Source organism: Homo sapiens, chromosome 3, assembly GCF_000001405.40.
Source record: "Homo sapiens chromosome 3, GRCh38.p14 Primary Assembly".
In the NCBI taxonomy this organism is placed as follows: Eukaryota; Metazoa; Chordata; class Mammalia; order Primates; family Hominidae; genus Homo; species Homo sapiens.
This window is the reverse complement of record NC_000003.12, coordinates 194,229,808-194,257,803: the sequence shown is the minus strand read 5'-3', so window position 1 is coordinate 194,257,803 and position 27,996 is coordinate 194,229,808. Positions and strand designations below refer to the sequence as shown.

At 44.6% G+C, this 27,996-nt stretch overlaps 2 long non-coding RNA genes across 2 annotated transcripts in view, besides 3 other annotated features; one reads left to right on the top strand and one right to left on the bottom strand.

Annotated features, from left to right (window-relative positions):
- Positions 1-31: 31 nt before the first annotated feature.
- LINC02037 (long intergenic non-protein coding RNA 2037) lies at positions 32-10,156 on the bottom strand. Its single transcript, NR_125402.1, has 4 exons — positions 9,983-10,156; positions 7,902-8,208; positions 2,448-2,573; positions 32-619 (listed from the first exon to the last, which is right to left on the bottom strand). It is a non-coding gene; the product is annotated as a long intergenic non-protein coding RNA 2037 (long non-coding RNA).
- Positions 2,015-2,064: a silencer, noted in NCBI's record as "silent region_15019". NCBI's record gives its function as "represses an Ori minimal core promoter by ATAC-STARR-seq in GM12878 lymphoblastoid cells {active_cell/tissue: GM12878}" and the evidence as "EXISTENCE:reporter gene assay evidence [ECO:0000049][PMID:35858748]".
- Positions 7,651-27,996, top strand: part of LINC02036 (long intergenic non-protein coding RNA 2036) — a 47,138-nt gene continuing 26,792 nt past the window's right edge. The window contains exon 1 of the long non-coding RNA NR_125403.1: positions 7,651-7,748. This is a non-coding gene — a long non-coding RNA (long intergenic non-protein coding RNA 2036). The remainder of the gene's footprint in view (positions 7,749-27,996) is intronic.
- Positions 25,325-25,824: an enhancer, noted in NCBI's record as "H3K4me1 hESC enhancer chr3:193949769-193950268 (GRCh37/hg19 assembly coordinates)". NCBI's record gives its function as "activates a minimal SCP1, AML or CMV promoter by ChIP-STARR-seq in naive H9 embryonic stem cells {active_cell/tissue: H9 hESC(naive)}" and the evidence as "EXISTENCE:reporter gene assay evidence [ECO:0000049][PMID:30033119]".
- Positions 25,825-26,326: an enhancer, noted in NCBI's record as "H3K4me1 hESC enhancer chr3:193949267-193949768 (GRCh37/hg19 assembly coordinates)". NCBI's record gives its function as "activates a minimal SCP1, AML or CMV promoter by ChIP-STARR-seq in naive H9 embryonic stem cells {active_cell/tissue: H9 hESC(naive)}" and the evidence as "EXISTENCE:reporter gene assay evidence [ECO:0000049][PMID:30033119]".

Below are 27,996 nucleotides of genomic sequence, written 5' to 3'. Positions count from 1 at the left end.
GCCTCCCGGGTTCAAGTGTTTCTCCTGCCTCAGCCTCCCGAGTAGCTGGGATTACAAGCACACACCACAACACCCGGCTAATTTTTGTATTTTTAGTAGACACGAGGTTTCACCATGTTGGTCAGGCTGGTCTTGAACTCCTGACCTCATGATCCACCCGCCTCGGCCTCACAAAGTGCTAGGATTACAGGCGTAAGCTGCCATGCTCGACAGATATATTTCTTAATCATCAGAAAGAATATATTAAAAGCTCAGGAATCATAGCTGGAATGATCTTGATGCCTTCTTTCCAACAGAGGCCCATGGAGGGAAGGTGACTTGCTGAGGAACCTCCTCCAGCACGTGACAGCCAGTGTTCCCAGGGCACCATCTGTCTGTGCTTCTCATACCAGTTGGCGCCTTGCTTCTAAACCACAGAAGCTGGTTCTCAGTCATGGGATCCTTGGGATGCTTGCTGCCTCTCCGCTGGACTCTTGACTCTGCTGCCACCATCATACAACAGCTCTGACAATCTCCATGTCCTTGTACTTTCCTATTGGATTCACAATCTCAGGCATGAACAGGTGATTGGCTGAGTACCTTGAGGTGTGGAAAGTGAAGATCTGCTCCTCTTCCGCCTCTGTGACAGGAGGCGGGGTCAGAGGCGGGATCAGAGGTGGGGTTGTACTTTTCACCTATTTTGGGGTTCTTCTAAATTAGGAAGACTGGATGCTGGGTAGTTAAAAAACAACATGTGTCCACAACTGTTATAAATATAATATTCTCAAGTGAGAAAAACACCAAAACTTTGTCCCACCAAAGAATACCAATGTTAGGCAATGACACAGGGAGGCAGCAGCCTGTGAAAGACAGGAGATAGGCATTTCAGAAAAGACTGAGGACCTTTCTAGAGGAATGTGTTCCGTTCTGACTGTCTCTCAGAGAGATGGAAGCAAGTTGAGTGGGGGTGGAGACCAATGGAGGATGAGGTGTTTCTAACAACCAGAAATGCCCACCACTAAATGGAGTGATTCAGAAGGTTGAGACCTCTTCACACCTGGAAGTCTTTGCACTGGGACATTGTCAAAGGGAGCAGACCCCCTCAGGCATAGGAGGCCCTAAGGCTGTACTGTCCATGACAGAAGCCGTTAGCCACACTGCACTCTGAGCACATATTGAAATGATCATCTGCTCTATTGAACTAAGTAAAATGTATTACTATAATTAATTTTTCCTGCTTCTATTTGTTAATATTGTTGCTAGGGAATTTACAGTCACCTGTGTGGCTTCATTATATTTCTGCTGGGCTGCTAGAAGGTCTCTTCTGGCTCTGAGATGTCTCCATCCCTAAACCTGCTGCCATCCCTCCCTTCAGGGCTGCACCAGGTGTCCATATGGTGGGGCTCTAGGAAACCGGATGAATAACAACACCCTTTCTTCTTTCAGAGTCCAGAACCAACTGAGAGAAAGTGTCCCCTTTCTTGGCAAATTGGAGGAAAATGCAGCTTGAGGTACGGCCAGGCAGGCTTGCTAATACATCACACCTGGGACAGATAAGCTTTATTATCTGCTAGGGCCTGGCGCAGATGGCCAGCTGCGGACCTCCCCCAGGACGGAGCCCAGCACAGAAGGCCGCCTTCTGCTCCAAGAGGCAGAGGGATCGAGCCCCACAGGTGCGGGTTTTCTCCCAAACTCATGAGTTACACAAATCATCCTGCTCTTGGGGAGAAGCGAGGTTGGGAGTAATGTCGAGGTTTCTCCCAGGGACACCAGTGTAAGGAGGAGTGTGAGGGGATACAGACTTAGATTTTCTCAGCCTTAAACCTCCAGAAATAGTCCAGTGTCCAGCATGATGAGATTCAGGGAAACTGGGGCTGGCCTTTGGGCAACTTACTCCACCTGTTTAAGCTCTATCTTCTGACTGGTGCTAGGAGCACCCACATGGGCACAGAATGTGACGATGCCTAGAAACACGCATCACCTTGCTCAGTGCAGGCTCAGTGCTCAACACAGAGCAGCTACTGTTTCTTCCCCTACTGCTAGCACTCAGTGTGAACTGTGTATCACATGGAGCAAACTGCGGGGCGGGGCCGGGGTTCGCCTATCTCTTACTGGTCTTGTGTCTAAGACCAGTTATAGAATTGTGGGATTTCAGAGCCGTTAGAGATCCCAGATACCATCTCGTCATGTGGCAGATTAAGTAACTGGTCTGTAAGCGAGGAAGGGAGGCGACAGTCAGGAAGAGGGCCGTATGGGGGTGGTAAGTGACACGTGCAACCTCTCCACCCGCCCCCACCCCGTCACCACACTTCCTGGACCTAGTAATTCAGGAAGGCAGTCTGTCTGACCAAAAGGCAGGAAGTCCGCCGGGCCCACTCCCATCCTGGTGGCGTGGCGGCTGGGCTCTGTTCTCAGGCTGCTAGCACCGTACTCCCAGTGGGCATGTCAGGCAAGTCCTGGCTGCTCACCTCAGTTCTAGAATCTGCCACATTCAGAGTCTATTTCTTAGTTGTTTCTGCTTTCCTCATATGTTATATCACTGGGACACCCTCAGGTCATCTCAGGTTCCAGTGGAGCCGTCCCAGACCCAGCATCTGAAAAGAGATAAAGAGATATTTTTGTGATTCTTTTTAAGATACTTTTTCCATTTACTTTATTGTTTTTGAAATGGAAAATATTAAGTTGAATATTTTAATGCAAATCTATTTGTGAATCCAATTATGTGATACTTAATTTTTTTTATTTTTAAAAATAAAATAATCAGTGATACATTTAATAGGGTATGTATTACAAAAATTATATATATATATATATATATATATTTTTTTTTTTTTTTGAGACAGAATCTTGCTCTGTTGCCCAGGCTGGAGTGCGGTGGTGTGATCTCGGCTCACTGTAACCTCCGCCTCCCAGGTTCAAGCGATTCTCCTGCCTCAGCCTCCCGAGTAACTGTGGCTACAGGCATGCACGACCAAGCCCCGCTAATTTTTTTTGTATTTTTAGTAGAGACCGGGTTTCACCATGTCAGTCAGGCTGGTCTTGGACTCTTGACCTCAAATGATTCGCCTGCCTTGGCTTCCCAAAGTGTTGGGATTACAGGTGTGAGCCACCTCGTCTGGCTTACAAGATTAGTTTTTATCTTAAAATAAATTGAACAAGGCCAAAATTTGACTTGCAGTTAACCAGAAGTGTGAAGTATTTATGCCGTGGAATCCACGCCTCTGTCTATTGTCGTTTCTCTAATATTCTTTCTGTATACACAAAATACATCCTAATCATGACTCAAGATAGATCTATTCCTTGGAGAGTGATAGAGATGATGACAAGGAATAAAGAATTTTCTGTTTGGAGAGAAACATAGATGGATGAGCTTGAGTTTGCTTGCAGTTCCTCTTCACAGCACAAATGGGGAGCAGCATCAGAGCTGGACTCAGAGACCAGGGTTCTTATCTCAGCTTTGCCACCATTAAACTGGAGATCTGGGGCAAGTCACTTCCCTCTCAGTTACCTCGTTGCCAGCCTTAGAAGACCAGCCGAGCTGAGCCTTGCTGGGTAAGGATGGCCCTGGGATTGAAGGAGGAGCCCTGACGCTGTGCCTTGTGCCATAGTGAATGGCAGGGGTGGCGGCTCTGAGGTGCCAGTGCAGGACACGCACCGTGATGTGCAGGGGAGGAGACTGTGCTTCTGAGTAGGGCACTCCTGCAGCTGGCCACGCATAGCCTTTCTGTCCTGTTGTATGAGATCTACCCCATGTTATGAGCATCCACCTGCTTTTCAGCAGGAAAAATCATGACCCAGTCACTCTAGGTTTGCCTTCCACGTTGTCCTCTTCGCTGATTAAATAGTCTTTCTTTGGTATACGCTTCTGAAACTTCCCTGTTCAAATGAGGCCCCTCCCAAGGGGGTCCACGTTAGCACAGAAAATGCTTTCTTTCCATCTCTGATTGATTATCTGTTCTCATTTGTTCCCGGACTTCAATTTCAGCCTGAATGTGAGTATTTATTTTAAACAGTCAGCCTGGACTTCATCAACATGGCAGTATTTTAGGGAATCCAGTTGTAGGTCAAATGCCTGGGGTTTCAAAGAGTGTAAGCTGAAGTCTCTGACCTAAACTCTAGAGACTAAAGGTTGTCACTGAAGACTGCCATCTTTATGGAGGGCGGGGAGAAGGTATTTAATAAATGGGGCTTTCTCCTAATGTGGTTAAAGGAGACCAGCAGCTCCAATTCAATTCAAAGGCAACTCAGTGAGGGCCCAGTAAGGGTCTAATGCTGCATTCATCACTGGAGTCTCCTGCTTTTGGCTGAAAGTCTATCTGCTCCCAGGAGAGTATTAATTGAGCACTTACTATCTGACCAACCCTGTGCCAAGTGCTGTGTGGGATCTAGTGGTGGTGGTGGGGGAAGCCTAACGTACAGGAGAATATGCCGTGTAGGTGCTGGTGGTGTTCCGCTGTGCAAGCTTCATCCAGACAGAGGGTTTTTGCAGCTGGGCCTGACCAGTCCACCAGCAAGAAGGGGCTGGCATTGTTTTGTTGTCACAATCCTGGTACCTGAGGCACCTGGAATAGGCTGGCTTTTTGCCTTCAGCACTCTAGATCCCCAGCTCGGGCTGGAATTCTTTCCTAACCCCTACTCCTCTTAACTGGGGTTTGGGCAGCCAATCTCTTGCCACCTTCTTGCCACTGCTCCCTGTATCTTCATCTGGGGATCTGCTCTCATCTGGATGGCCATCAGTTTCCACCTAGCCCCTGTCCCAGCCCTGCAAACAAGCAAGACCAATGCAGACTCATCATTGTCAGCATGTCCCCTAGGTCCCTCAACATGCTGCCATTTCTGTGTTTCCTCCTCAGGAAGGGGCACCTTTTCCAACCAGGCACCCACCTAGAAACCTGAGAATCATCTGAAATCATTTCCTCTCTGTCACCACCATCGCCCAAATACAGTTGATTTGTGAGCTCTCAAATCCACCGGTTTCTCTCCATTCCCAGTTACAACCTTTGTCCAACCCACCCATGTCTGCTTTGCTCACCGTTGCAGTCTCTGCACCCAGCACAGGACCTGTGAAATGGTTGCTCGTACCATTTGCGGAATGGAAGATGTGAGTGAGAGTGAGTGAGCCAGGGGAGACCTGTCAGGATGGCCTGACCCTTGTTTACCTCTTAAGTCTCATCTCTCTCCTTCACCGCCACTTACCCTTTACCTGGCAGCTCTCCTGAGCTCCCCGTACAGCCTGGGTTCTTGTCCACATCTTCCAGAAGCCTCCCCTTTTCCTGTTTGAATTAGATGGTCCCTCTGTGCCCCCAGTGCCACATGCCTAGCCCATTTCCTGGGGAGCACGCATCCCACGACACTGGCATTGCCTGTCTGCATGTCAAGTGTTCTCTCTTGATGCTAAGTTCCACGAAGCGGGCTCTGTGTTTTACGCATCACTGCATTTCCAGCACTTAGCGCAAGCAGGTGCTCCTTGAATTTTTGTTGACCGAAGGTCTAGAAACTCCTGCTTTGGTGCCTAACTGCTTCCTGCCTCATGTCTCTCCCCCAGCCCTCCACCCCCAATCTACCTGGCTTCTGGCACTGCTCACTCTGAGGTGCGCGGCTATCCATGGGCCAGCCCCATGTAGCAGTGTGTTTCGGGTGCTGGTGCCACCCATTCCGTTCCTCTCCATGACAGGTCACTTGGTGCAGAGCGCCTTGATCTGCACAGTAGGACATGCTTTCCTGGCCTTGGACCTCCCAAAGTCTACCCGGTGCTTGTGCCCTCTCCTGGCATCTTCTGACCGGGTCCCCATGGGGTTTCGTGCTCATCCCTTCACTGGCTTGTGAATGTCCCCGGGGCAGGGGCAACATCCAACTGGTCTCTGACCACCGGTCCCCCCTCCCCCTCCCCACAGCACCCAGAACAAGGGCTCATTTGTGCACGGTAGATTCCCAGGAAAGGGTTCTTTTGGATCCATCTGAAGGCTGGAGGGACTTAGGGAGGGGTGGGACTCTGGGAATTCGGATGGCTGGAGGGAAGCTTGGAGGAGAAGGAGGAGGAGCTACTCCTCACCCAGAGTGGGGTGAAGGCCGAGCTCCTGTGAGGGACTGTGACAGGAATGGCAGGGCAACAAGGGGCAGTGGCGGAGCAGAGCTAGGAGAGTAGTTGCAGCCTCAGTGCCACGTCAGTCCAGCCCAAGGCCTCCTGGGCGGCCAGCTGACCAGGCCTCAGCGTCAGGCTTCCTGTGCAGCAAGGTGCCCAGAGCTGTGCAGGCTGGTGCTGACTGCTGTCCCCCACCCCACCACAGGGGCCCTGGGGAAAGGGTGCCTTGCTCCTTCTCTGCCCTGCTCTCCCCATATGGGTGTCTCTCATTCTTTTCATCATAGTAAGCAGCACGACTGCAAAGTGCTTTATGTCCCCTCCAGAAAGGCCATGAGCCAAAGGTTTGCTGTCTTCCTCACCATCACCACCACTGTCTTCCTCACGATCACGGCCACCATCCTGCTCGCCCTGTCCCACATCCGAACAAAGCTGCAGAGTGTACACCATGTTTCTTCATTATCCCATTTTGACGGTTGCAGCTGCCATTATTCACTCTTAACAGTTAAGGACACAGAGGTTCAGAGAGGTCGAGGGGCTAACTCATGTCACACAGCCCGACTTGAGGTGGAGGGAGGGAGGATGGATTAGGAAATCTGCTCTGGAATCCCTCTTAGAAAGTGTCAGCAGGGCACAAGTGGAGTCTGCGTGTGCACCTGTGTAAGTGTGTCTGTCCTGATTCTCTCTGTGCGCCCCTGTATCCTTCTATGTCCTGAGTGTGCCGTCTTGGGTGTGGATGTGTGGAGCTGTGCTGGGAGTATCCTCAGGGTCGAGTGTGTGTGCATATGGCCGGGTGCAGACACATGCGTGCACATGGATGCTCCACCCGCTTCTCAGATGTCTTGGCTGTGGGTTTGACAACTGAAACCCAGCTGTGCTCCGGCCGGGAAACATCCGCTGTGGAAACCTGGGAGGAGCTGACAGTCCCTAAAGAGGGGTTACACATGCTGCCAGCAAGCGCGCCTGGCCCACTGCCTAATTCCCTGCAAATGCTCTTTAAATCTGTTTCTAATTTGGACTCTGCCTTCCCCTGCCCCCACCCATCCCTTCCCACCCTCCCAACTTGCCTGAAACCAGTCAAATTATGCTGAATAATGGCTGCAGAGTGGGGGGAGAGTGCTCAAGGTCGCCGATGGGCTCTCGGAGGGTGTAATAATGTCACATTTTAATTTACGCAGGGAACGGTGCACGAATCAAAACCAATAAATAATTTGGGCTGCACCAGCAGCTGCAGCCAACAGTAACTCCTACAGGTCATGCCACTTCCCGGGGAGAAATCACTAACTGTCACACTCCAAAGTCCACTATGCTTGAGAAAACCCATGTGCCTAGGTACAGATGCAAAATACAGCATTTTCTCTCTGCAAGGGACCGTATTTGGAGACTTGCAGCATCAGCAAGAATCTGTCCAGTTGTCTGAGTATTACCCAGATGTTCTGGGTATTAAGATTCTAAAACAAAATATGCCTCTGTATATTTTGCTGCCCTGTGAAATACTCAGCTCCAGGCTGACCCAGATGCATGGGAAAGTGTATACAAAGCGGAGGGAGGAGTGTGGAAAGCAGGGCTTTATGTCCACATTGATGGCAGCTCTGAAAAGCCGACCTACATGCAGAGAAAGGCGGGAGGGGCTGCTGGGAGAAGTCTGCTGGAGCTTGTTCATGCTGAGAGGTTGGGGGTGTGATTTGAGGTACGGTTTTTTCAATAATTAATATGAAGGTAAAAAATGCATGCATTCTTTGAAGGCAGGGGCCTTGCTCTACTGACCCCTTTTGGTCCCTTGACGACCGATGAGTCAGGGTAAGGGAGCCCAAAAGTGGGGAGGTCTTGAGATGGTTCTCACCTGTGTGTTGTGGCTGGGTAACCTGGGAAGCCAGGAGGAGGACGAGCCTTAGGTTTTCACAGCATCTGGAGGCCTTTGCTGGGAGGTCCTGCCTGTGGTGTTCTGGTGAAAACCCCGTTCCTTCCCCCGAGTCTCCTGAGCATCTGCAATTGGTGTGTGCTCCAGGGGCTGCTGATGGGGCCTGGCATGCTGCCCACCTCTTAGCTGGCTCTGCAACTGCAGGAAGGTGGGGTTTGCAGCCCGCGGGGCCACTGCCTTGGAAGTTGTGCGGCTGTCAAGAGTCTGGAGCTGCAGCTTCTCCATCTGGCTGGAAAGGAAGCATGGGAAGAAGCTGCTGAGGTTGAATGGCACCCTGAGGATTTCACTCCCCTTTTCCTACCACACACCAGACCGGGGCCATCAGGTTGCCTGGGTAAGAAAGGCGCGGGGGGGCCCACACTTGTATTGTGCACCAGGGCCTGGCTCCTATTTCATCCTTCAAGGCGCTTCCCATTCATATCTTTTTCCATTTTCAAACTGTTGGCCCTGTATTTAGTTGTGTGTGATACTAAGGATGCTGCCTATGTCAAAAGCCTCATTTAACCCTCAGAACACACCTGCAAAGTAGAATAAACTATAAGAAACTAGAAGAGGGCTAGGTGTCCACTGCAAGGGTGTACTTCTCCTTCTTTTAGGGTTGAGTTCCTGCAAGGAAATAGCTGCTAATTTTCCCACCCCCTTACAGTTAAGTCCAGCCCTAGGATCGGGTTCTGCCCAGTGGAATGTGAGCAGTGCAGTGGGTTGCCCCACTCCAGAGCCTCCCACTAGAAACTTCCCAGGAAGCAGTCTCCAAGCTCCAACCCTTCCGCCTGGATGGAACAGGGGCAACCCCACCATGACCTTGGAAGCTACAAACTTAAAATGGCAGAGCATCTCTCGCCTTGGGGTTTTGAATGACTGTGTGGAGAAAGACTGCCCGGACAGCATGTTCTCTGCCCTGTCCTGAGCAAGAAAATGAACTTATACTCTATTGTTTCCCAGCCATTATGCTTTTTGGGGTTTGTTTGTTTTAGCAGTGAACTTATCCCTCAGTAATTGATTAGAAATTTTCATTCCTATTGTAGAAATGAGGAAATCGAGACTCAGAGAGGGAAATTCATGGCCCAAGGTCACATATTCGGTTAATAGCAGAGTCACGATGCCAGTCTACGCCTTCCTGGCTTCAAAGTCATGCTCTGGTTATGTGAGTTTCCCCAAGTGTGTTCCACAGAACACTGTTCAAACCACCGCCACCACCACATCACCCCCGCAGCTCCCATGCTCAAATAAGTTTGGGAAATGCCAACTTCGAGTCAACAGGTTTCTTTGCCGCAGTCCTTTCCAGCATGTCACCATGCTCATGATACCTGTGAATTACCACCAGGGCATCTAACATGAAGGATTTTTCCAAATTTGTGAGGCCACAGGGCCCCTTCTCCACAGAGCTGATTGTGAGACTGGCATGCTTAGAGCTCATCTTGGTAGAGGCTAAACTTCAATATGCTGCCTGATACGGGTTGAACTGTGTTACTCTCTCAACCCCCGAAAGGATTCATTGAAGTCCTAACCCCTGGGAGCTCGGCATGTGACCTAATTTGGATATAGGGTCTTTGCAGATTTAACCAAGTTAAAATTAGGCCCTTAGATGGGGCCTGCTTCAATATGACTGGTGTCCTTAGAACAGGGGAAATATAAACACAGAGACAAGCAGACACAGAAAGAGGATGACATGAAGACACCCAGGGACACACAGCAGATATGCCACGGGAAGAGGGAGGGCTGGAGTAGTGCATCTGTAAACCAAGGAATGTCAGAGATTGCCAGCAAACCCCAGAAACTAGAAGAGGCAAGGAAGGATTCTCTCCCGGAGCTTTCCGAGGGAGCACGGCCCTGCCAACACCTTGACTTTGGTCTTCTAACCTCCAACACATGAGAGCACACGTGTCTGTTGTTTAAGCCGCCCAGTGCATGGTAGTTTGTTATGGCACCCCTGGGAAATGCATACGCTCCCTCTGGCTCCTTTCAAAACCAGGAACCAAAGTTTCTGGGCAATGTTACCTTACCGAAAATCATCCAAATGACAAACTGTGGTGGCTTCGGTTTACTGACAAACAGATGAAGGAAAAGAGAGTCTGGAGGGACAAAGGGTAGCACCGCAGAGCAGCTCAGGGCTTCAGTTTTGGCGCCATGCCGGCTGCTGTGCACCCGGCTTTGGTTGCATCCTGGAGCGCAGTCCTCCACCGCTCTGGGCACAGTTGCCTTTTCTATAAGGGTGGGGCTAACACTCACTTCATAGGTTGAGGGGAGGGTTAAACAAATTAACATACACTAAATGTTTGGTCTAGTACCTGGAAGATACCCAGTATCCGTTCCTTTGAAATTTGCGCAAGCAGGATTGCAGACCTGCGCTTGAATCCAAACTCTGCTATTTATCAACAGTGTTGCTGTGGGCAATTTGCTCAGTCTTTCAAAGTCTGGATTTCACCATCTATACAAAGAGAAAATAATGCGTGTTGTTAAAAAATGGTTTTAAAACAAGTTAGAAATCGTGATTCTAAAATAGATAAAAATGAGCACGTTATCATTGTGAATGAGTGAACCAGCGATGTTACAACTGATTCAAAGAAGAATCCAAAGAACAGATGTGTTTATGGTTATGGAATGTTGATTTTCAAGTGGTCACAATGATCTGGCTTTTGCCCCGTGTAGGAGGGTGGATGGAGCTCATTTGCGGGTCCACAATTCAGGGTCACTGTGTGTCCTCTCTTCCCTAAAACTTACAGAGCAGTAAACTAGCCCAAAGGCTGGAATCAGATAATCCAGAGGGTCTGCTCTCAACAATAAATAGTTTTCTCTTGGAGAAACCCTGTAATCTTCTTTGCTTATTTCAGATTTCCTTGTAGTCTCATATATTTATATGCATAGGATTGGGAAAAGATGCATACATGGAAAAAGCAAGTTGCTGAATCAGGTATAATCCTACTTTTATAAAAACAAACAAACTGTGTGTATGTGTATACATATGCACACACACGAGTGGGTGTGTATATATAACGTTGATTAAATTAGACAAATGTCAGGAAGAATACAGAAGGATTGTAAACAATGGCTACCTCTGGAGGGCAGGTCTGGTGATGGTGATGGTGGAGGGAGACTTTCATGACTTATTTTCTAAACTTCTGTGTTGTTTGAATAAAAACAAACGCCTACTTCACAGTATATTGTGAATAAGGAATGTCTGAGTGAGAAAAATGTCCTTTGTGCTTCACGCAGTGTGTAGCATTCAACAAATCACAGGTTTCATCATTGTTATTATTTTACATTCAACTATCCCAGAGCCCCCTAAGCCTATTCCTGGAAAGGAAATTGCAAACAAGAACAATGCTATTGCAGCCCAAGGACTTCTCCCTTTGTGGGAGGCTAGTTTTGAAATCCTAGACTTGCATTTTGGCTCCCTGGAGACTGGAGGAGACCTCTATCCTGAGCTACAGCCTTGGAGTGGCTCCTGTCTGTTTTACTTCCTTAGCCCCCACCAGCAGCCCCACGCTCAGGCCCACCCAGTGTTTAGCTGCGACAAACTCCTTGGCCACAGGAGGGAGGCCTGACTGGGGCCAAACTCTAGGGCAAAGGGTTGCCTAGGCCCTGTGCCATCCTCTTGCCCAGACTGGGACTAAGAGACACCTATTAGCTCCATTTGAGTCTGGTTACCATCCCCTACCCAGGGATGGGGTGCTGGTCACAACAGGCAAAGAGACAAAATGAAGTTTTTGATCACACAAAGCTAAAGATCTAATTTCAGCTGCTGACTCATCCCCTAAAGGGCGGCGTTGGTGCCTCCAAAGGGCTTGGGATGGAGTCAGGAGATCTAACCCTGGTGCAGGTTTGGCCACTAACTAGCTGCATGTCCATGGACTATGTCTCAGGTTCCCTATCTGCCTAATGAGAGTAAGAAGAAGGTTTATCTCCAAGGGCTATCAGGAGGCTTAACTGAGGTGATGTCTGAGCTGTGGGGTTCTGTAGAGATTTAGTTTGGGTTGATGCAATAGGGTACTTCAGGGTGCTTGATATGCTTTAATAGCAAATGTTATATGGCACTTACCATGACGCGCAAGGCCCTGTTATATCTGATTTACATTTATTTAGTCATTGGGTATTCACAGCAGCCCTGTGAGGAATGCACTGTTATCCAACCCCCATTTTACAGATGAGAAAATAGAGGCAAAGAGAGCTAAGTAACTTTCCCCAAATCTTCCCATGGGACATGGCATGTCCCAGTCCCACCTGGACAGAATCCTTTCTCAGGGACCCATATCTCAAACCCACAGACTTGATTGGGTTTTCTTTTCTTTTCTTTTTCCTTTTTTTGTCCTTCCATTGTAGAATACTTCAACTGTGTGAGAGTAAAAAGAATATTAGAATACATTTCCAGGAATTCCCATTACCTAGCTTTATTAATTACCAACTCATGACCATCACCATCCCCTTCACACCCTGAATTATTCTAGATCAAATCCCAGACATCATATGTACATATACTTTATTTTCTATTTATTTACTTATCTTTTGAGCTGGCCTCACTCTGTGCCTGGCTAGAATGCAGTGGCACCATCATAGCTCACCACAGCCTCAAACTCCTGGGCTCAAGTGATCCTCCCACCTCAGCCTCCCAAGCAGCTGGGACTATAGGAATGTGCCATGATGCCCAGATAACTTTTTAATTTTTTGTAGAGATGAAGTCTTGCTATGTTGCCCAGGCTGGTCTTGAACCCCTGGCCTCAAGCAATTTTCCTACCTTGGCTTCCCAAAGTGCTGGGATTACAGGTGTGAACCACCACGCCCAGACTTTATTCTTTATTTCAATAAGACAGAGAGTCTCCAGAAAACACTAACCGTAAGATCATTAGGCCACTTAAAATATTTTAACAGTAATTCAATAATTCCTTAATATCATTGACCATTCAGTCACTGTTCATATTTCCAAGATTTTCTTATACATTAAGAAAAATTAGTTTTCTTTATTTGAATTGAGACCCAAAAGAGGTTCCCATATTTTAACTGGTGGATAAGTCCCTTAAGACCTCCCTATAGGTTCCTCCGTCAATGTTTTTTCTTGCATTTTTGTTTGCTTGTTTGTTATTATTGTTTTGAAGAAACTGGGTCACTTGTCCTATAGAGTTAACCACAGTATAGATTTTGCTGAATGCACCTGTATGGTTTGTTTACATGATTACAATTCCTCTGCCCTCTAGATTTTTTGTAAAATGGTAGTTATATTTAGAGGGCTGCCCAGATTCAAGCTTTAAAAAAACAAAAACAAAAACACAAAAACCTCTAATTTTTACAGCAGTTTTAGGCTCACTGCAAAATTGAACAGAAGGTACAGCAATTTCCTATATACTTCCTGCCTCAACACATGCATAGCCTCCCCCACGATCAATATTCCCCACCAGAGTGGTATTAAATACATTTGTTACAATTGATAACCCTATATTGACACATCATTATCACCCAGAGTCCATAGTTTACATTAGGGTTCACTTTTGGACTTTAGTCGTCCATTTCGTGGCTTCGGACGAATGTATGATAACATGTGTCTCTATTACAGTTCATACCGAGTAGTTTCACTGTCTTAAAAATCCTCTGTGCTCCACCTGTTCATGCCTCCCTCCCCACTAACTCCTGGCAGCCATTGGTCTTTTTGCTGTCTCCATAGTTTTGCCTTTTCCAGATGTCATATAGTTGGAATCATAAAGTATGTAGCTTAAGGTTAGCTTCTTTTCTTTCTTTTTTCTTTTTTTCTTTTTTTTTTTTTTTGAGATGGAATCTTGTTCTGTCACCCAGGCTGGGGTACAGTGGCACCATTTCGGTTCACTGCAACCTCTGCCCCCCACCCCCCGGGTTCAGGTGATTCTCCTGCCTCAGCCTCCCAAGTCCCAAGTAGATGGGATTACAGGCATGTGCCACCATGCCAGGCTAATTTTTGTATTTTTAGTAGAGACGGGGTTTCCCCATGTTGGCCAGGCAGGTCTCGAACTCCTGACCTCAGGTGACCTCCCCACCCACCTTGGCCTCCAAAGTGCTGGGATTACAGACATGAGCCACCACATCCAGGCTAGATTACTTTCTTTTACTTAATAATATGCATGTAAGTTCCTCCATGCCTTTTCATGCTTGTTAGCTCTTTTTTTTTTTTAAGCATTGAATAGCATTCCATTGTCCAGATGTATTAATACCACGGTTTGTCTTTTCACTTCCTGCAGGACATTTGTTTGTTTCTAGGTTTTGGCAATTATGAATAAAGCTGCTATAAACATCTGTATGCAAGTTTCTGTATGGACATAAGTTTTCAACTCCTTTGGAGAAATTTCAGAGATCATGACTGCTAGATTATATGGTAAGAGTATATTTACTTTTTTTGAAACTGCTAAAGTCTTTGGAAGTGGTTGTACCAGTTTGTATTCCCACCACCAATGTATGAGAGCTTCTGCTGCTCCATACCCTTGCCAGCATTTGGTGCAGTCAGTGTTCTGGATTTCGGCCATTCTAACAGACGTGTAATGGTATCCCATTGTTGATTTTATTTGCATTTCCCTGATGACATATGATGATATGATGTGGAGCATCTTTTCATATGCTTTGTCATCTGTGTATCTTCTTTGCTGAGGTGTCTGTTAAGGTCTTCGTCTATTTTTTAATCAGGTTTCTTTTTTTCTTTTTCTTTCTTTCTTTTTTTTTTGAGACGGAGTCTCACTCTTGTCGCCCAGGCTGGAGTGCAATGGCGCAATCTCGGCTCACTGCAACCTGTGCCTCCTGGGTTCAAGTGATTCTCCTGCCTCAGCCTCCTTAGTAGCTGGGATTACAGGCAGCCACCACCACACCTGACTAATCTTGTATTTTTCGTAGCGATGGGGTTTCACAGTGTTGGCCAAGCTGGTCTCGAACCCCTGACCTCAGGTGATCCGCCCACCTCAGCCTGCAAAGTGCTGGGATTACAGGTGTGAGCCACCGTGCCAGCCAGGTTTCTTTTTCTTATTGTTGAGTTTTAAGAGTTCTTTGTAAATTTTGAACACCAGTTCCTTAACAGATAACGTCTTTTGCAAATGTTTTTTTCTCAGTGTGTACCTTCCCTTCTCATTCTCATGACAGTGTCTTTCATGGAGCAGAAATGCTCAATTTTAATGAAGCCTACCTTATCAGTTCTTTCTTTCACGGATAGTCGCTTTGGTCTTGTATCTAAAGGTCATTGTGAAACCCAGGCATCTCCATTTTCTCCTATGTTATTCTAGGAGTTTCCCAGTTTTACATCTTATGTTTAGGTCTGTGGTCCACTGTGTTACTTCTTGTGGACGGTGTAAAGTGTGTATCTAGATTCACTTTTTTGTATGTGCATGTCCAGTTGAGTGTGTTTCCAGATTCACTTTGTTGTATGTGCATGTCCAGTTGAGTGTGTGTCCAGATTCACTTTGCTGTATGTGCAAATGGTAGTGACAGTCATCCAACTTTGTTTTTCTCTTTCAATACTGTATTGGCTATTCTGGGTCTTCTGCCTCTCCACATAAATTTTAGAATCAGTTTGTTGATTTACACAGAGTGACTTGCTGGGATTGACATTGTATGAAATCGACAGAGCAACTGGGAAGAACTGACATCTTGACAATAATTGAGTCTTTGTATCTATGAACATAGAATATCCTTCATTTATTTAGTTCTTTGATTTCTTTCATCAGCGTTTTGTAGCTTTTCTCGAATAAAGCTTGTCATCTTTTGGGTGTGCTGGTATAAATGGTATTGTGTTTTTAATTTCAAATTCCACTTGTTTATTGCTGGTGTATAGGAAAGTAATTGACTTTTATATATTAACCTTATATCCTGCAACCTTGCTATAATTGCTTATTAGATCCAACAGTATTTGGTTGATTCTTTTGGATTTTCTAGATAGCCAATCATGTCATCTGTGAACAAAGACAGTTTTACTTATTCCTTTCCAATCTGTATAGCTTTTATTTCCTTTTCTTGTCTTGTTGTATTAGCTAGGACTTTCAGTACAATGTTGAAAGGCATGGTGAGAGGAAACATCCTTGCCTTGCTCCTGATCTTAGTGGGAAAAAAGCTCTGAGTCTCTCACCAGTAAGTGTGACGTTCACTATAGGTTTCTTGTAGATATTCTTTATCAAGTTGAGGAAGTTCTCCTCTATTCCTAGTTCACTGAGCGTTTTTTTTTTTTTAACCATAAGTGGGCATTCAATTTTGTTAACTTGTTTTTCTGCATTTATTGAGATGACCATGTGATTTTTCTTCTTTAGTCTGTTGATGTGATAGGTTTTACATTACATTTATATTACATTTACATTAACTGATTTTTGAACGTTGACTCTGACTTGCATACCTTGGATAAATTACACTTGGTCATGGTGTATAATTTACACATTGTTGGATTTCATTTGATATTTTTTTGAGCACGTTTACATCTGTGTTTAAGAGAGATATTGGTCTGTAGTTTTCTTTTCTTGCAATATCTTTGTCTGGTTTTAGTATTAGGGTGACGCTGGCCTCATAGAATGAGTTAGGAAGTTTTCCCTCTGCTTCTATCTTCTGAAAGAGATTGTGAAGAATTGGTAAAATTTCCTTTTAAAATGCTTGTTAGAATTCACCGGTGAACTCACCTGGACTTGGTGCTTACTGTTTTGGAAGATTATTAATTGTGAATTCAATTATTCAATTTCTTTAACAGATATAGGCCTATTCTCGGCTCATTGCAATCTCTGCCTCCTGGGTGAAAGCAGTTCGCCTGCTTCAGCCTCCCGAGTTGCTGGGATTACAGGCACGTGCCACCACACATGGCTAATTTTTTTTGTTTTGTTTTTTAGTAGAGACAGGGTTTTGCCATGTTGCCCAGGCTGGTCTTGAACTCCCGAGCTCGGGCAATCTGCCAGCCTTGGCCTCCCAAAGTGCTAGGATTACAGGTGTGAGCCACTGTGCCTAGCCTTCAGATTGCCCTATTTCTTCTCACGTGAATTTTAGCAGATTGTGTCTTTCAAGGAATGTCTCTTTCATCTAGGTTATCAAATTTGTGAGTATAGAGTTGTTCATAGTATTCCTTCAAGTTTCTTTTAATGGCCATAAGATCTGCAGTGATGTTCCCTTTTTCATTTCTGATGTTAACAATTTATGTCCTCTCTCTTCTATTCTTAGTTTGCCTGTCTTTTATTTTCTTTATGCTTTCAAAGTATCGGCTTTTCAAACTTCAAAATCAGGTTTTCTTTATTTTGTCTGTTAATCTTCTGTTTTCAGTTGCATCTCGATTTCTGCTCTAATGTTTAATGTCTTTTCTTCTGCTTCCTTTGGATTTAATTTGCTCTTCTTTTTTTTAGTTTCTTATGGAGGAAGTTTAGATGATTGATTTTAGAGCTTTCTTCTTTTTAAATATTTGCATTCGATGCTGTAATTTGCCCCCTAAGCACTGTTTTGGTGCATCTGCGAATTTTGATAAGCTGTGCTTTCACTTGTATTTAGTTCAGAATATTTTAAAACTTCTTTTGAAATTTCTTCTCTGATTCACATGTTATTTAGAAGTGTGTTGTTTAATCTCCAAGTACTTGGGAATTTTCCAGCTATCTTTCTGTTATTGATTTCTAGTTTAATTCTATTGCGGTCCGATAGCAGACACTGTGTGATTTCTATTTGCTTAAATTTGTTAAGGTGTGCTTTATGTCCCAGAATCCTATCTTGGTGAACTTTTTTTGTTTTTGTTTTTTTATTTGTTTTTGTTTTTGTTTTTTTTTTTAGACAGAGTCTTGCTGTGTCACCCAGGCTGGAGTGCAATGGCGTGATCTTGGCTCACTGCAACCTCTGCCTCCTGGGTTCAAGCAGTTCTCCTGCCTCAAGCCTCCTGAGTAGCTGGGATTACAGGCATGTGCCACCATGCCAGGGTAATTTTTGTATTTTTAGTAGAGATGGGGTTTCACCACGTTGGCCAGGCTGGTCACGAACTCCTGACCTCAGGTGATTTTTCCATGTGACCTTGAGAAGAATGTGTATTCTGCTGTTGTTGGATGAAGTAGTCTATAGATGTCCATTATATCCAATTGATTGATCAAGTCATTGACTTCAATTATATTGTTACTTATATTCTGCCTCCTGGGTCTGTCCACTTTTGATAAAAGGGTATTGAAGTCTCCAGCCAAAATAGTGGATTCATCTACTTCTCCTTGCAGTTCTGTTGCTTTTTGCCTCACCTATTTTGATGCTCTGTTAGGAGCATAAATTAAGGACTGTTATTTCTTCTTGGAGAATTGATCTCTTTATTATTGTATATTGCCCTCTTTGTCCATGATAACTTTCCTTGCTCTGAAGTCTATTCTTTCCAAAACTAATATATCCTTGTTTTCCTAATTACTGTTACTGTGTTATATCTTTCTCTATACATTTACTTTAAATCTATCTGGATTCTTATATTTAAAGTTTGTTTCTTGTAGACAACATGTAATCAGGTCTTGTTTTTCAATTCACTTTAACAATCTCTGTCCTTTAGTGGGTGCATTTAGGCTGGGCACAGTGGCTCACACCTATAATCCCAGCACTTTGGGAAGCTAAGGCAGGAGGAACACTTGCATCTAGGGGTTTGAGACCAGCCTGGGAACCACAGTGAGACTCCCATCTCTATGAAAAATAAAAAATTAGCCCTGCATAGTGGTGCGCACTGTAGTCCCAAGTACTCCGGAGGCGGAAGTGGGAGGATTGCTTAAGCTTTGGGGGTCAAGGCTGCAGTGAGCCTTGATTGTGTCACTGCACTCCAGCCTGGGTGACAGAGTGAGACCCTGTCTCAAAATAATAATAAAATAATGATAATAATAATTATTTTTAAAATGGGTGCATTTAGGCCATTGATATTCAAAGTGATTATTGATGTAGCTGAATGAATATTACCATATTTATTGTTGTTTTCTATAAGTTGCCCTGGTTCTTTGTTCTTATTTTGTCTTCTACTCTTTTTCTTCCTTTTGTGTTTTAATTGAACATTTTATTATTCCATTTCCTCTTCTTTCTAAGCATATCAGTTTTTTTTAATTTTTTTTTTTTTTTAGAAGTTGCCCTAGAGTTTGCAATATACATTTACAACTCATCCAAGTCCACTTCAAATAACACTATACCAGCTGGGTGCAGTGGCTTATGCCTGGTCTCCCGGTGCTTTGGGAGGCCAAGGTAGGAGAATCACTTGAGTCCAGGAGTGAGCCACGATGGCGCCACTGCACTCTGGCCTGAGTGTGACCCCATCTCAAATAAAACAAAAAATCTAAAACACACACACACAAACAAACCCCAAACAACACTATATCGCTTATGGATAGTACAAGTAACCTAAGATAACAAAATAATTTTAATTCCTCCCTTCCATCCCTGGTATCATTGCTGTCATTCACTTCACTTATACGTAAGCATATACAATTAAGTACATTGATGCTATCATTATCTTGAACAGACTGATATCTATCAGATCAATTAAGAATGAGAAAAATAAGGCCAGGCACGGTGGTTCATGCCTGTAAACACAGCACTTTGGGAGGCCGAGGCAGGTGGATCACCTGAGGTCAGGAGTTCAAAACCAGCCTGGCCAACATGGTGAAACCCCAACTCTAATAAAAATATAAAAATTAGCTGGGCATGATGGTGTGCCCCTGTAATCCCAGCTACTCGGGCTGAGGTAGGAGAATTGCGTGAACCTGGGAGGCAGAGGCTGCAGTGGGCAGAGATCACACTACTGCATTCCAGCCTGGGCAACAAAGTGAGACTCCATTTCAAAAAAAAAAAAAAAAAAAAAACAAAACAAATAAGAAAAATAAAGGTTTTTATTTTACCTTCACTTGTTCCTTCTCTGATGCTCTTCCTTTCTTTATGTTGATCCCAGTTTTTGATTTGTATAATTTTTCTTCTTTCTAAATAACTTCTTTTAACATGTCTTGCAAGGCAGTTGTATTGGAAAAAGAATTTTCTCAATTTTTGTTTTTCTGAGGAAGTCTTTACTTCTTCATGTTTGAAGGATAATTTTGCAGGGTACAGAATTCTAGGTTGGTGGTTGTTTTCTCTCAACACCTTAAGTATTTTAGTCCATTCTCTTCCTGTTTGCTTTGTTTCTGAAGAGAAGTCAGACATAATTCTTACCTTTGCTCTTCTGTAGGATAAGATGTTTCTTCCCTCTGGCTTCTTTCAAGATTTTCTTTACTGTTGATTTTCTACAGTTTGAACATGATATGCCTGGGTGTATTTTTGGGGCATTTATCCTGCTTTGTGTTCTCTGAGCTTCTGGAATCTGTGGTTTGGTATCTGATCTTAATTGAGGGAAATTCTCAATCATTATTCTTTCAAATATTTCTTCTTTTCCTTTCTCTCATTCTTCTCCTTTTTATATTCCCATTTACACCGTTTGTAGTTGTCCTGCAGTTCTTGGATGGTCTGTTCTACTTATTTCAGTCCTTTTTCTGTTTTCTTTTCAGTTTTGAAGGTTTCTATTGAAATACACCCAAGCTCAGAGATTATTTTCTTAGCCATATCCAGTCTACTAATAAGCTCATTGAAGGCATTCTTCTTTTCTGTCACAGTGTTTTTTATCTCTAGCGTTTCTTTTTCTTTTTAGTTCTTAGAATTTCCATCTCTCTGCTTACATTGCCCATCTGTTCTTGCATGCCGCTTACTTTATCCATTAGAGCCCTTAGCATACTAGTCATAGCTGTTTTACATTCCCGGTCTGATCATTTCAACATCCATGTCATACCCGAATCTGGCTTTAATGTTTGCTCTGTCTGTTTGGACTTTGTTGTTTTGTCTTTAGTATGCCTTGTAACTTTTTCTTCAAAGCCTGGCATGGTGTCTTGGGTAAAAGGAACTGTTGTAAATGGGCCTTTGGTGATGTGGTGGTAAGGCATTAGGCAATGGGAAAGTGTTCCACAGTCCTATGATTTGGTCTGAATCCCTTAGGGAGCCTGTGCCTCTGGACTGTGAATGTCACACCTGCTTCTCGGTACCCTCTCCTCTCCTGTGGGTGGGACAGGAAGATTTGAGGGGGATCCAGTTTGGTGTTTCCTTTCCTCCAGGTCAGTTAGGTACTGATAAAGCCCCAGTAGTTTAGGCACTGGTAAAATAGTTTCTCTTGAGGGCAGACCTTGTTAAGAAGAACAGAATGTTTTGGTGTATTCCAAAATGGCTCCTTTCCCCCTCCCTGTACTGGAAACATGAGGGATTTTTCTCCAATATTCAATGGGAGCACCAGGTCAAGCTCTTGGGGGTAAAACACACAAACGTGTAGGAGTCTCCCATCCCCATGACTAGGTCTTAGAGTTTTTCACTCTTAGAGTTATCCACACTGAGCCTCCAGTAATTAGTCAATTACAGTGTAGGTTTTCCTACCCTGGCCCTGGTTCCCACAGTTTGTGCTCTGGTCTGTTGTGATTCTCTGTATTCACCTGCCTGTCTCTTCAATTTGGGAGCAGTGATTTGCCCTGTAACCTCTCTTCTCTTATGGATCTAAGAAGAGCTGTTGCTTTTTCAGTTTGTTCAGACTTTATTTATTTATTTATTTGAGACAGAGTCTGGCTCTATCACCCAGGCTGGAGTGCAGTGGCGTGATCTCGGCTCACTGCAACTTCTACCTCCCAGGCTTAAGCAATCCTCCCACCTCAGCCTCGGGAGTAGCTGGGCCCACTGGCATGCGCCATCATGCCTGAGTAATTTTTGTATTTTTTGTAGAGACAAGGATTTGCCGTGTTGCCCAGACTGGTCTCAAACTCCTGGGCTCAAGTGATCTGCCTGCCCTGGCCTCCCAAAGTGCTGGGATTACAGGAGCGAACCAGTGTGCCTGGCCCAGCTTTTTACTTTTTGTTAGGATAGTGTGGCGACTTCCAAGCTTCTTATTTGCTGGGATGGAAACTGGAAGTCCTCTTCTGGCAGCTTCTTCTCCTTCAACAAGAACACTTCATAGGTGCTGTCCTTTTCCTCCATCCAGCCTCCCAAATATCAGTCTCTCTTCTTCCTAGCATCTAGAATGCCACCTGGAAAGAATGTGTGCTGGGACTAGGGACACCTGGGGTCTATCTGATGGGCAAGGCTAAAAGGGAAGTGGCTCAAGATGGCATCTAGAGAACTCAGTCTTTACCTGTACCTGCTATTTAGTGAGGAAGTCATCACTTCATAGTAATATGAATCATAACCATGACTTCTGGAGTGTTTACAATATGCCAGCCACTGTTTTAATTGCTTTTAATGTAAAAACTAATTTATTCTTCTCAACAACCCCATGTGGTTGGTACTAATATTATTACCATTTAGAAATGAGGAACCAAGCCCAGAAAGATGAGATGATTTGTCTAAAATGTCACCCCTGTGCTTGCCAGAGAGGACAGTCCTATCTTGGAGAGTCCTTGACTTAGGGGCTCTTTGGCTTCTATCATCAACACACTTTGAAATGCTGCATTCTCACCCTGACTGACCTCTTGTGATCTCAAAATAGTGCATCAACTACAAATTCCTCTCTTATCTTGGAGGGGGTTTGCCTGCTAGTGCAGTCACTCACATCCAGACTTCTTGTCTCAAGGTTCCCTATAGACGTAAGAATTATGTCTTCTCATCAGGCAGTACTTTCCAAGCTAGATTCAGGCAAAATGGCCCATCTGCCTAGGGCTCTTTGGCCTTCCGGAAATGACAGCTCCTTACCTTTCTTTCAGTGCTAGAGGAACACAGTAATATGGTCCTATAAAGGCAATCTGTTAGATACTGTTTAGTTTCACCACTTTACAAAATATCTACTCCGGTCCACCACCACCCGCATTCCTGAAAAAAAAAAAAAACAAAAAAAACAAAAAACCAGTTCCCCTCCTACAGGTTTTAGAGTTGGAGCTGTTCCTACCTAGCCCTGGGGAACTGGGGTAATGATCTTTGAACCTTCCAGGGATGTCACTTTTCTAAGATTCCTCCTTGGAAAAAGAGAACTAGTAATAAATTATGTAAAGACTTCAGGAACTAAACCTCAAAGTTCTTTTGGGAGCCAAACCTCTCTGCTCCCAAATCGTGGAGCAGGAGGACCGTGGGGCAGGGCATGGAGAGTGGCAACAGAAGCTGTGAGCAGGACCAGCGACTGATATGCCTAGGGCCTAGGACAAAATGGAAATGTGGGGCCCCTTATTAAAAAATGATCAAGAACTTCAAGATAACATCAACATGGCATTAAACCAAATACGGAGCCCTTCTAAATGTGGGCCTTGTGTGAACACAGGTGATGTGCACGTGAAGTCAGCTCTGGCAATAGGGGCCCTCCTGGCACTTTGGGATGCATCTGAAACACTTGCATAAATGATATAATGTTTGTCAAATAAGACCGAGCTTGACTGGATGGTATATGAGGTCACTTTTCTTTTTCTTTCTTTCTTTTTTTTTTTGAGACTGAGTTTTGCTCTTGTCGCCCAGGCTGGAGTGCAATGGCGCGATCTCAGCTCACTGCAACCTCTACCTCCCAAGTTCAAGCGATTCTCCTGCCTCAGCCTCCCAAGTAGCTGGGATTACAGGCATCCAACACCATGCCCAGCTAATTATTGTATTTTTAATAGAGACGGGGTTTCACCATGTTGGCCAGGCTGGTATCGAACTCCTGACCTCAGGTGATCCACCCGCCTCGGCCTCCCAAAGTGTTGGGATTATAGGTGTGAGCCACGGTGCCCAGCCATAAGAGGCCACTTTTCATTGTGGCTCAGATAACTCTGAACTGTGGCATATTCCAGACAGAGGTATAATAGGACTAAGCACTGAATGTCCTAGGGGAAAGTCTCCAGGTTTTTGAAGACCACATCATGGCAATAATGGCCTAGCACAGCAATTCCTGCCTCACGGCGAGGAAGAGGAGGTTGGGGGGCAAACAGAGTATGAAAAAGTACATTTATTAATTTAGTCACAAAAACCATGGAAAGTAAAGCCCCTAAAAGTCTTCTTGACATTCGGATGCAGAAAAGGTAGGGTGAGAAAGCATTGTGCAGGGTTGGCTTAGAGAAGGCTGAGGAACATGAGAAACAGTGCCTTAACTTTTTATGTTTACTTTTTTAAAAGAACAGCAATGCAAGGAGAAACATTTGGGAGATGCTTATCAATGTAAGAAACATCTGGAAATGGGAAATAGCAGATGCGGATGATTTTGTTCTAAGGGAGGATTTTGCTCCTAAATTTCTCTAGGAGACCCCACACAGCAGAATGGAAGCTTCTGGTGGCCAGTCTTCCACTTCTCTTGCAGAGGAGACATTGGTCACCATGAAGACAGGCCATAAGCAAAAGCTGGGGGCAGAAATGTCTGGGGTTGTGTACCAGGCAGTTGTTTCCAGCTACCTCTGCAGGATCTCAAAGGACCTCCCTGAGATCACCAAGGGACAGAAATCCATATTGCACACCTCCACAGGGCACCATTCACATTTCAGTCTGCTGGGGAGTGGTGCTCCAGGGTGCCTTTCCCATGGGGTACAATGGGGGTTGCATAGTGTGACTCAGCATTTTTCCTCTCTGTGTTTTATAGGTGGCTCTGAAATTCTATAAAATAATGGCTTTTCCACAGGTGGTCCTGGCACCTCCACTGGACCTTAGTGGGGTACTCTCTGCTCTATTGTCTCATCTTCCTGCTATGGCTGGGTACAGGCTGGTAAGAGAAGGGATGAGCATGTCATTCTGCGTTCTTTTCCCTTTTCTGCTAACCCATGAAGCACTCCAGTGAATCGCCATGAGCAGATGAGACCAACTTAGAACAAAATCCCTCCACTGCAGAGAGTGAAGCTAGGTCTTCCTGAAAAATTATTTAATATAGTTGTAATGCTCATTTAATCCTTAAATCTGGCTAATTTTTTAGAACCTTCCATTTACAAGATTACATTTACAACCTTCTCTCAGTGCCTCGATTTTCTGATGTGTAAGATGGGGTGTAATATAATGGGTTATTGAGAGAATTATATGAGTTAATATAAGAAAAGTCCTTCTGTCAAGTAATAAGTGTTATTACTAAATGAGAAATGTGATAAATAAATAAGCACGTACAATGATGGTTTTTTTCTTTTTTTCTTTTTCTTTCTTTTAAATGAGTTGAGGTCTTGCTATGTTTCCCAGGCTGGTCTCAAACTCCGGGGCTCAAGTGATCCTCCCACCTCAGCCTCCAAGGGATTACTGGGATTACAGGTATGAGCCACCACACCTGGCCTACAATTATTGTGAAATCAAAAAGTTCACTTGTAATACTGGTTTTGTAGTAGCGCTGGCACCTTCCACAGGACAATGTTTTGGCCTGTGGATGAAATGTTGAGTATTACTATCTAAAAGCAGGCTCCTGACTGACTCAAAAGTCATCATGCCTTGTATCCAGATGAGCAGATTCTTTCCTGCCTTCAAAGAAAAATGAGAAGAAAAGAACTGATTTCTTCTGTGGAGTTGGACGCTTTCCAGAACTTTACGGCTATGCTTTAAATTGATGAATGGCTGACTGCCGGTGGAGACCCTGACAGGCTGGGACTGCTGGGATGTTAAAATAAAATGATAGAAAATGAAGACAATTCAGCTTGAGTTTCCACAGGGCCATTTGATCCCACCAGAATCCTTTCCAGAGCAAACGAGGCCAGAGAGAGCCAACACCTGTAACAACATCGCTGGTGTCCCTGCCCAAAGGGTGACCACTGGAGACAGAAGGGAAATAAACAGTCCGTGGGGCAGACAAAGGAAAGACACAGGCCTGGGGACCCAGCTGCCTCATGCCACCTTTGAAATGACAATAGGGATTTTAAAAAACTACTGCAATTTAAAACAGGAAAAGAAGACTCTCCCTATCTGTAAGGTGATGCCTCGGCGGGGGCGGGGGCCAGTCTCTTCGGGACTCATCTGTGTTGCAGCCGGGACACCCTCTAGGGCCTTGGGCCTGAGTTCTCTCGGGACCCTGCCCTTCAGGTGGCTGCGCCAGAGAGCAGCAGCCTCCACACTGAGGGAGGTGGACTCATCTTCATAACACCAGACGCTGAAAATCTGACACTTTATCCGTAGCAGGTAAACAACCCAGAAAGATTATTTTAAATAACAAAATAAAATAAAAAGAATACACTTTGGGAGGCTGAGGCAGGCGAATCACCTGAGGTCAGGAGTTCGAGACCAGCCTAGCCAACATGGCGAAACCCTGTCTCTACAAAAATACAAAAAAAAATTAGCCAGGAGTGGTGATAGACGCCTGTCATCCCACCTCTTGGGAGGCTGAGGCAGGAGAATTGCTTGAACCTGGGAGGCGGAGTTTGCAGTGAGCTGAGATCATGCCACTGCCCCTCCAGCCTGGGTGACAGAGCGAGACTCTGTCTCAAAAAAATAACAATAATAAAAATAATCATGTTGGAAGAAAGTTTAGAAAATATAGAAAAGTAGAAAAAAGAAGAAATTATTCATGTCTCACTCCCTATAGCCAACATTGGTTAAAAGTTTGGTATGCTTTCTTCCAGACTTAAACAAAAACACCCAGACAGACATGCTTTAAAAAAGAGTCGTGACTGGTGGGCGCGGTGGCTCACGCCTGTAATCCCAGCACTTTAGGAGGCTGAGGAGGGCAGATCACGGGGTCAGGAGATGGAGATCATCCTGGCTAACATGGTGAAACCCCGTCTCTACTAAAAATACAAAAAATTAGCTGGGTGTGGTGGTGGGCACCTGTAGTCCCAGCTACTTGGGAGGCTGAGGCAGGAGAATGGTGTGAACCCAGGAGACGGAGCTTGCAGTGAGCCGAGATCACGCCACTGCACTCCAGCCTGGGCCACAGAGCGAGACTCCATCTCAAAAAAAAAAAAAAAATCGTCGTGACTATATCTTACTTAATATTATTTTATAATCCTTCTACATGGTATGATGAAATTTTATAGATACAGTTGAATGGCTGTGTAATTAACAAATAAATTCATTATTAGTTAATATTCTTTTTAATAAAAGGATATTTTGACTACTTTATTTTTTACTAGTATAAATAATGCTACAATGAGCACTTCTTAAATAATTGCTTTTTGAGATATAATTCAGGTATCATAAAATTTACTTTTTAAAGTGTACGATGCTGTAGACTTCAGCATATTCACAGTTATACAACTATCATCACTATCTCATTCCAGAACATTTCTGTCACCCTAGAAAGAAATTCCATACCCATTCCTCCCTCTGCAGCCCCTGACAACAACTAATCTATTTTCTATTTCTATGGATTTGTCTATTCTGAACATTTCATGTAAATGGAACCACAAAATAGGTGACCCTTTGTGTCTGGCCTCTTTCTCTTATCATAGTATTTTCAAAGTTCATTTATGTTATCACAGGTATCAGTTCTTGATTCCTTTTTATGGCCAAATAATATTGCATTGTGTAGATGTATCACTTTTGTTTATCCATTCACCAATTAATGGACATTTAAAGCTTCTCTTCCACCTTTTGGCTATTATAAACATTGCTGCTCTGAACATTCATGTACAAGTTTTGTTTTTGTTTTTTTTTTTTTTTTTTGAGACAAGGTCTCACTCTGTCACCTAGGCTGAAGTACAGTGGCGTGATCTTGGTTCACTGCAACTTCCGCCTCCCCGGTTCAAGCAATTCTCCTATCTCAGCCTCCCAAGTAACTGGGATTATAGGCGTGTGCCACCATGCCTGGCTAATTTTTGTATTTTTAGTAGAGACAGGGTTTCTTCAGTTGGCCAGGCTGGTCTCGAACTCCTGACCTCAAGTGATCCACCCGCCTCGGCCTCCCAAAGTGCTGGGGTTACAGGCATGAGCCACCGCGCCCAGCCCATGTAGAAGTTTTGTGTGGACATGTTTTCACCAACCTTGAGGATAAACCTAAGAGTGGAACTGCCAGCCATATGGTGACTCTGGGTTTAGCCTTCTGAGGAACTGCCCCTCTGTTTTCCAAAGCGGCTGCACCATTTTACATTTCCACCGGCACTGTGCAAGCTTTCCAATATTTTCACAACACTTGCTACTTTCCTTTTTAATTTTTCAACATCCATCATAGTGGGTGTGAAGTGGTATCTCATTGTGGCTTTTATTTTCATTT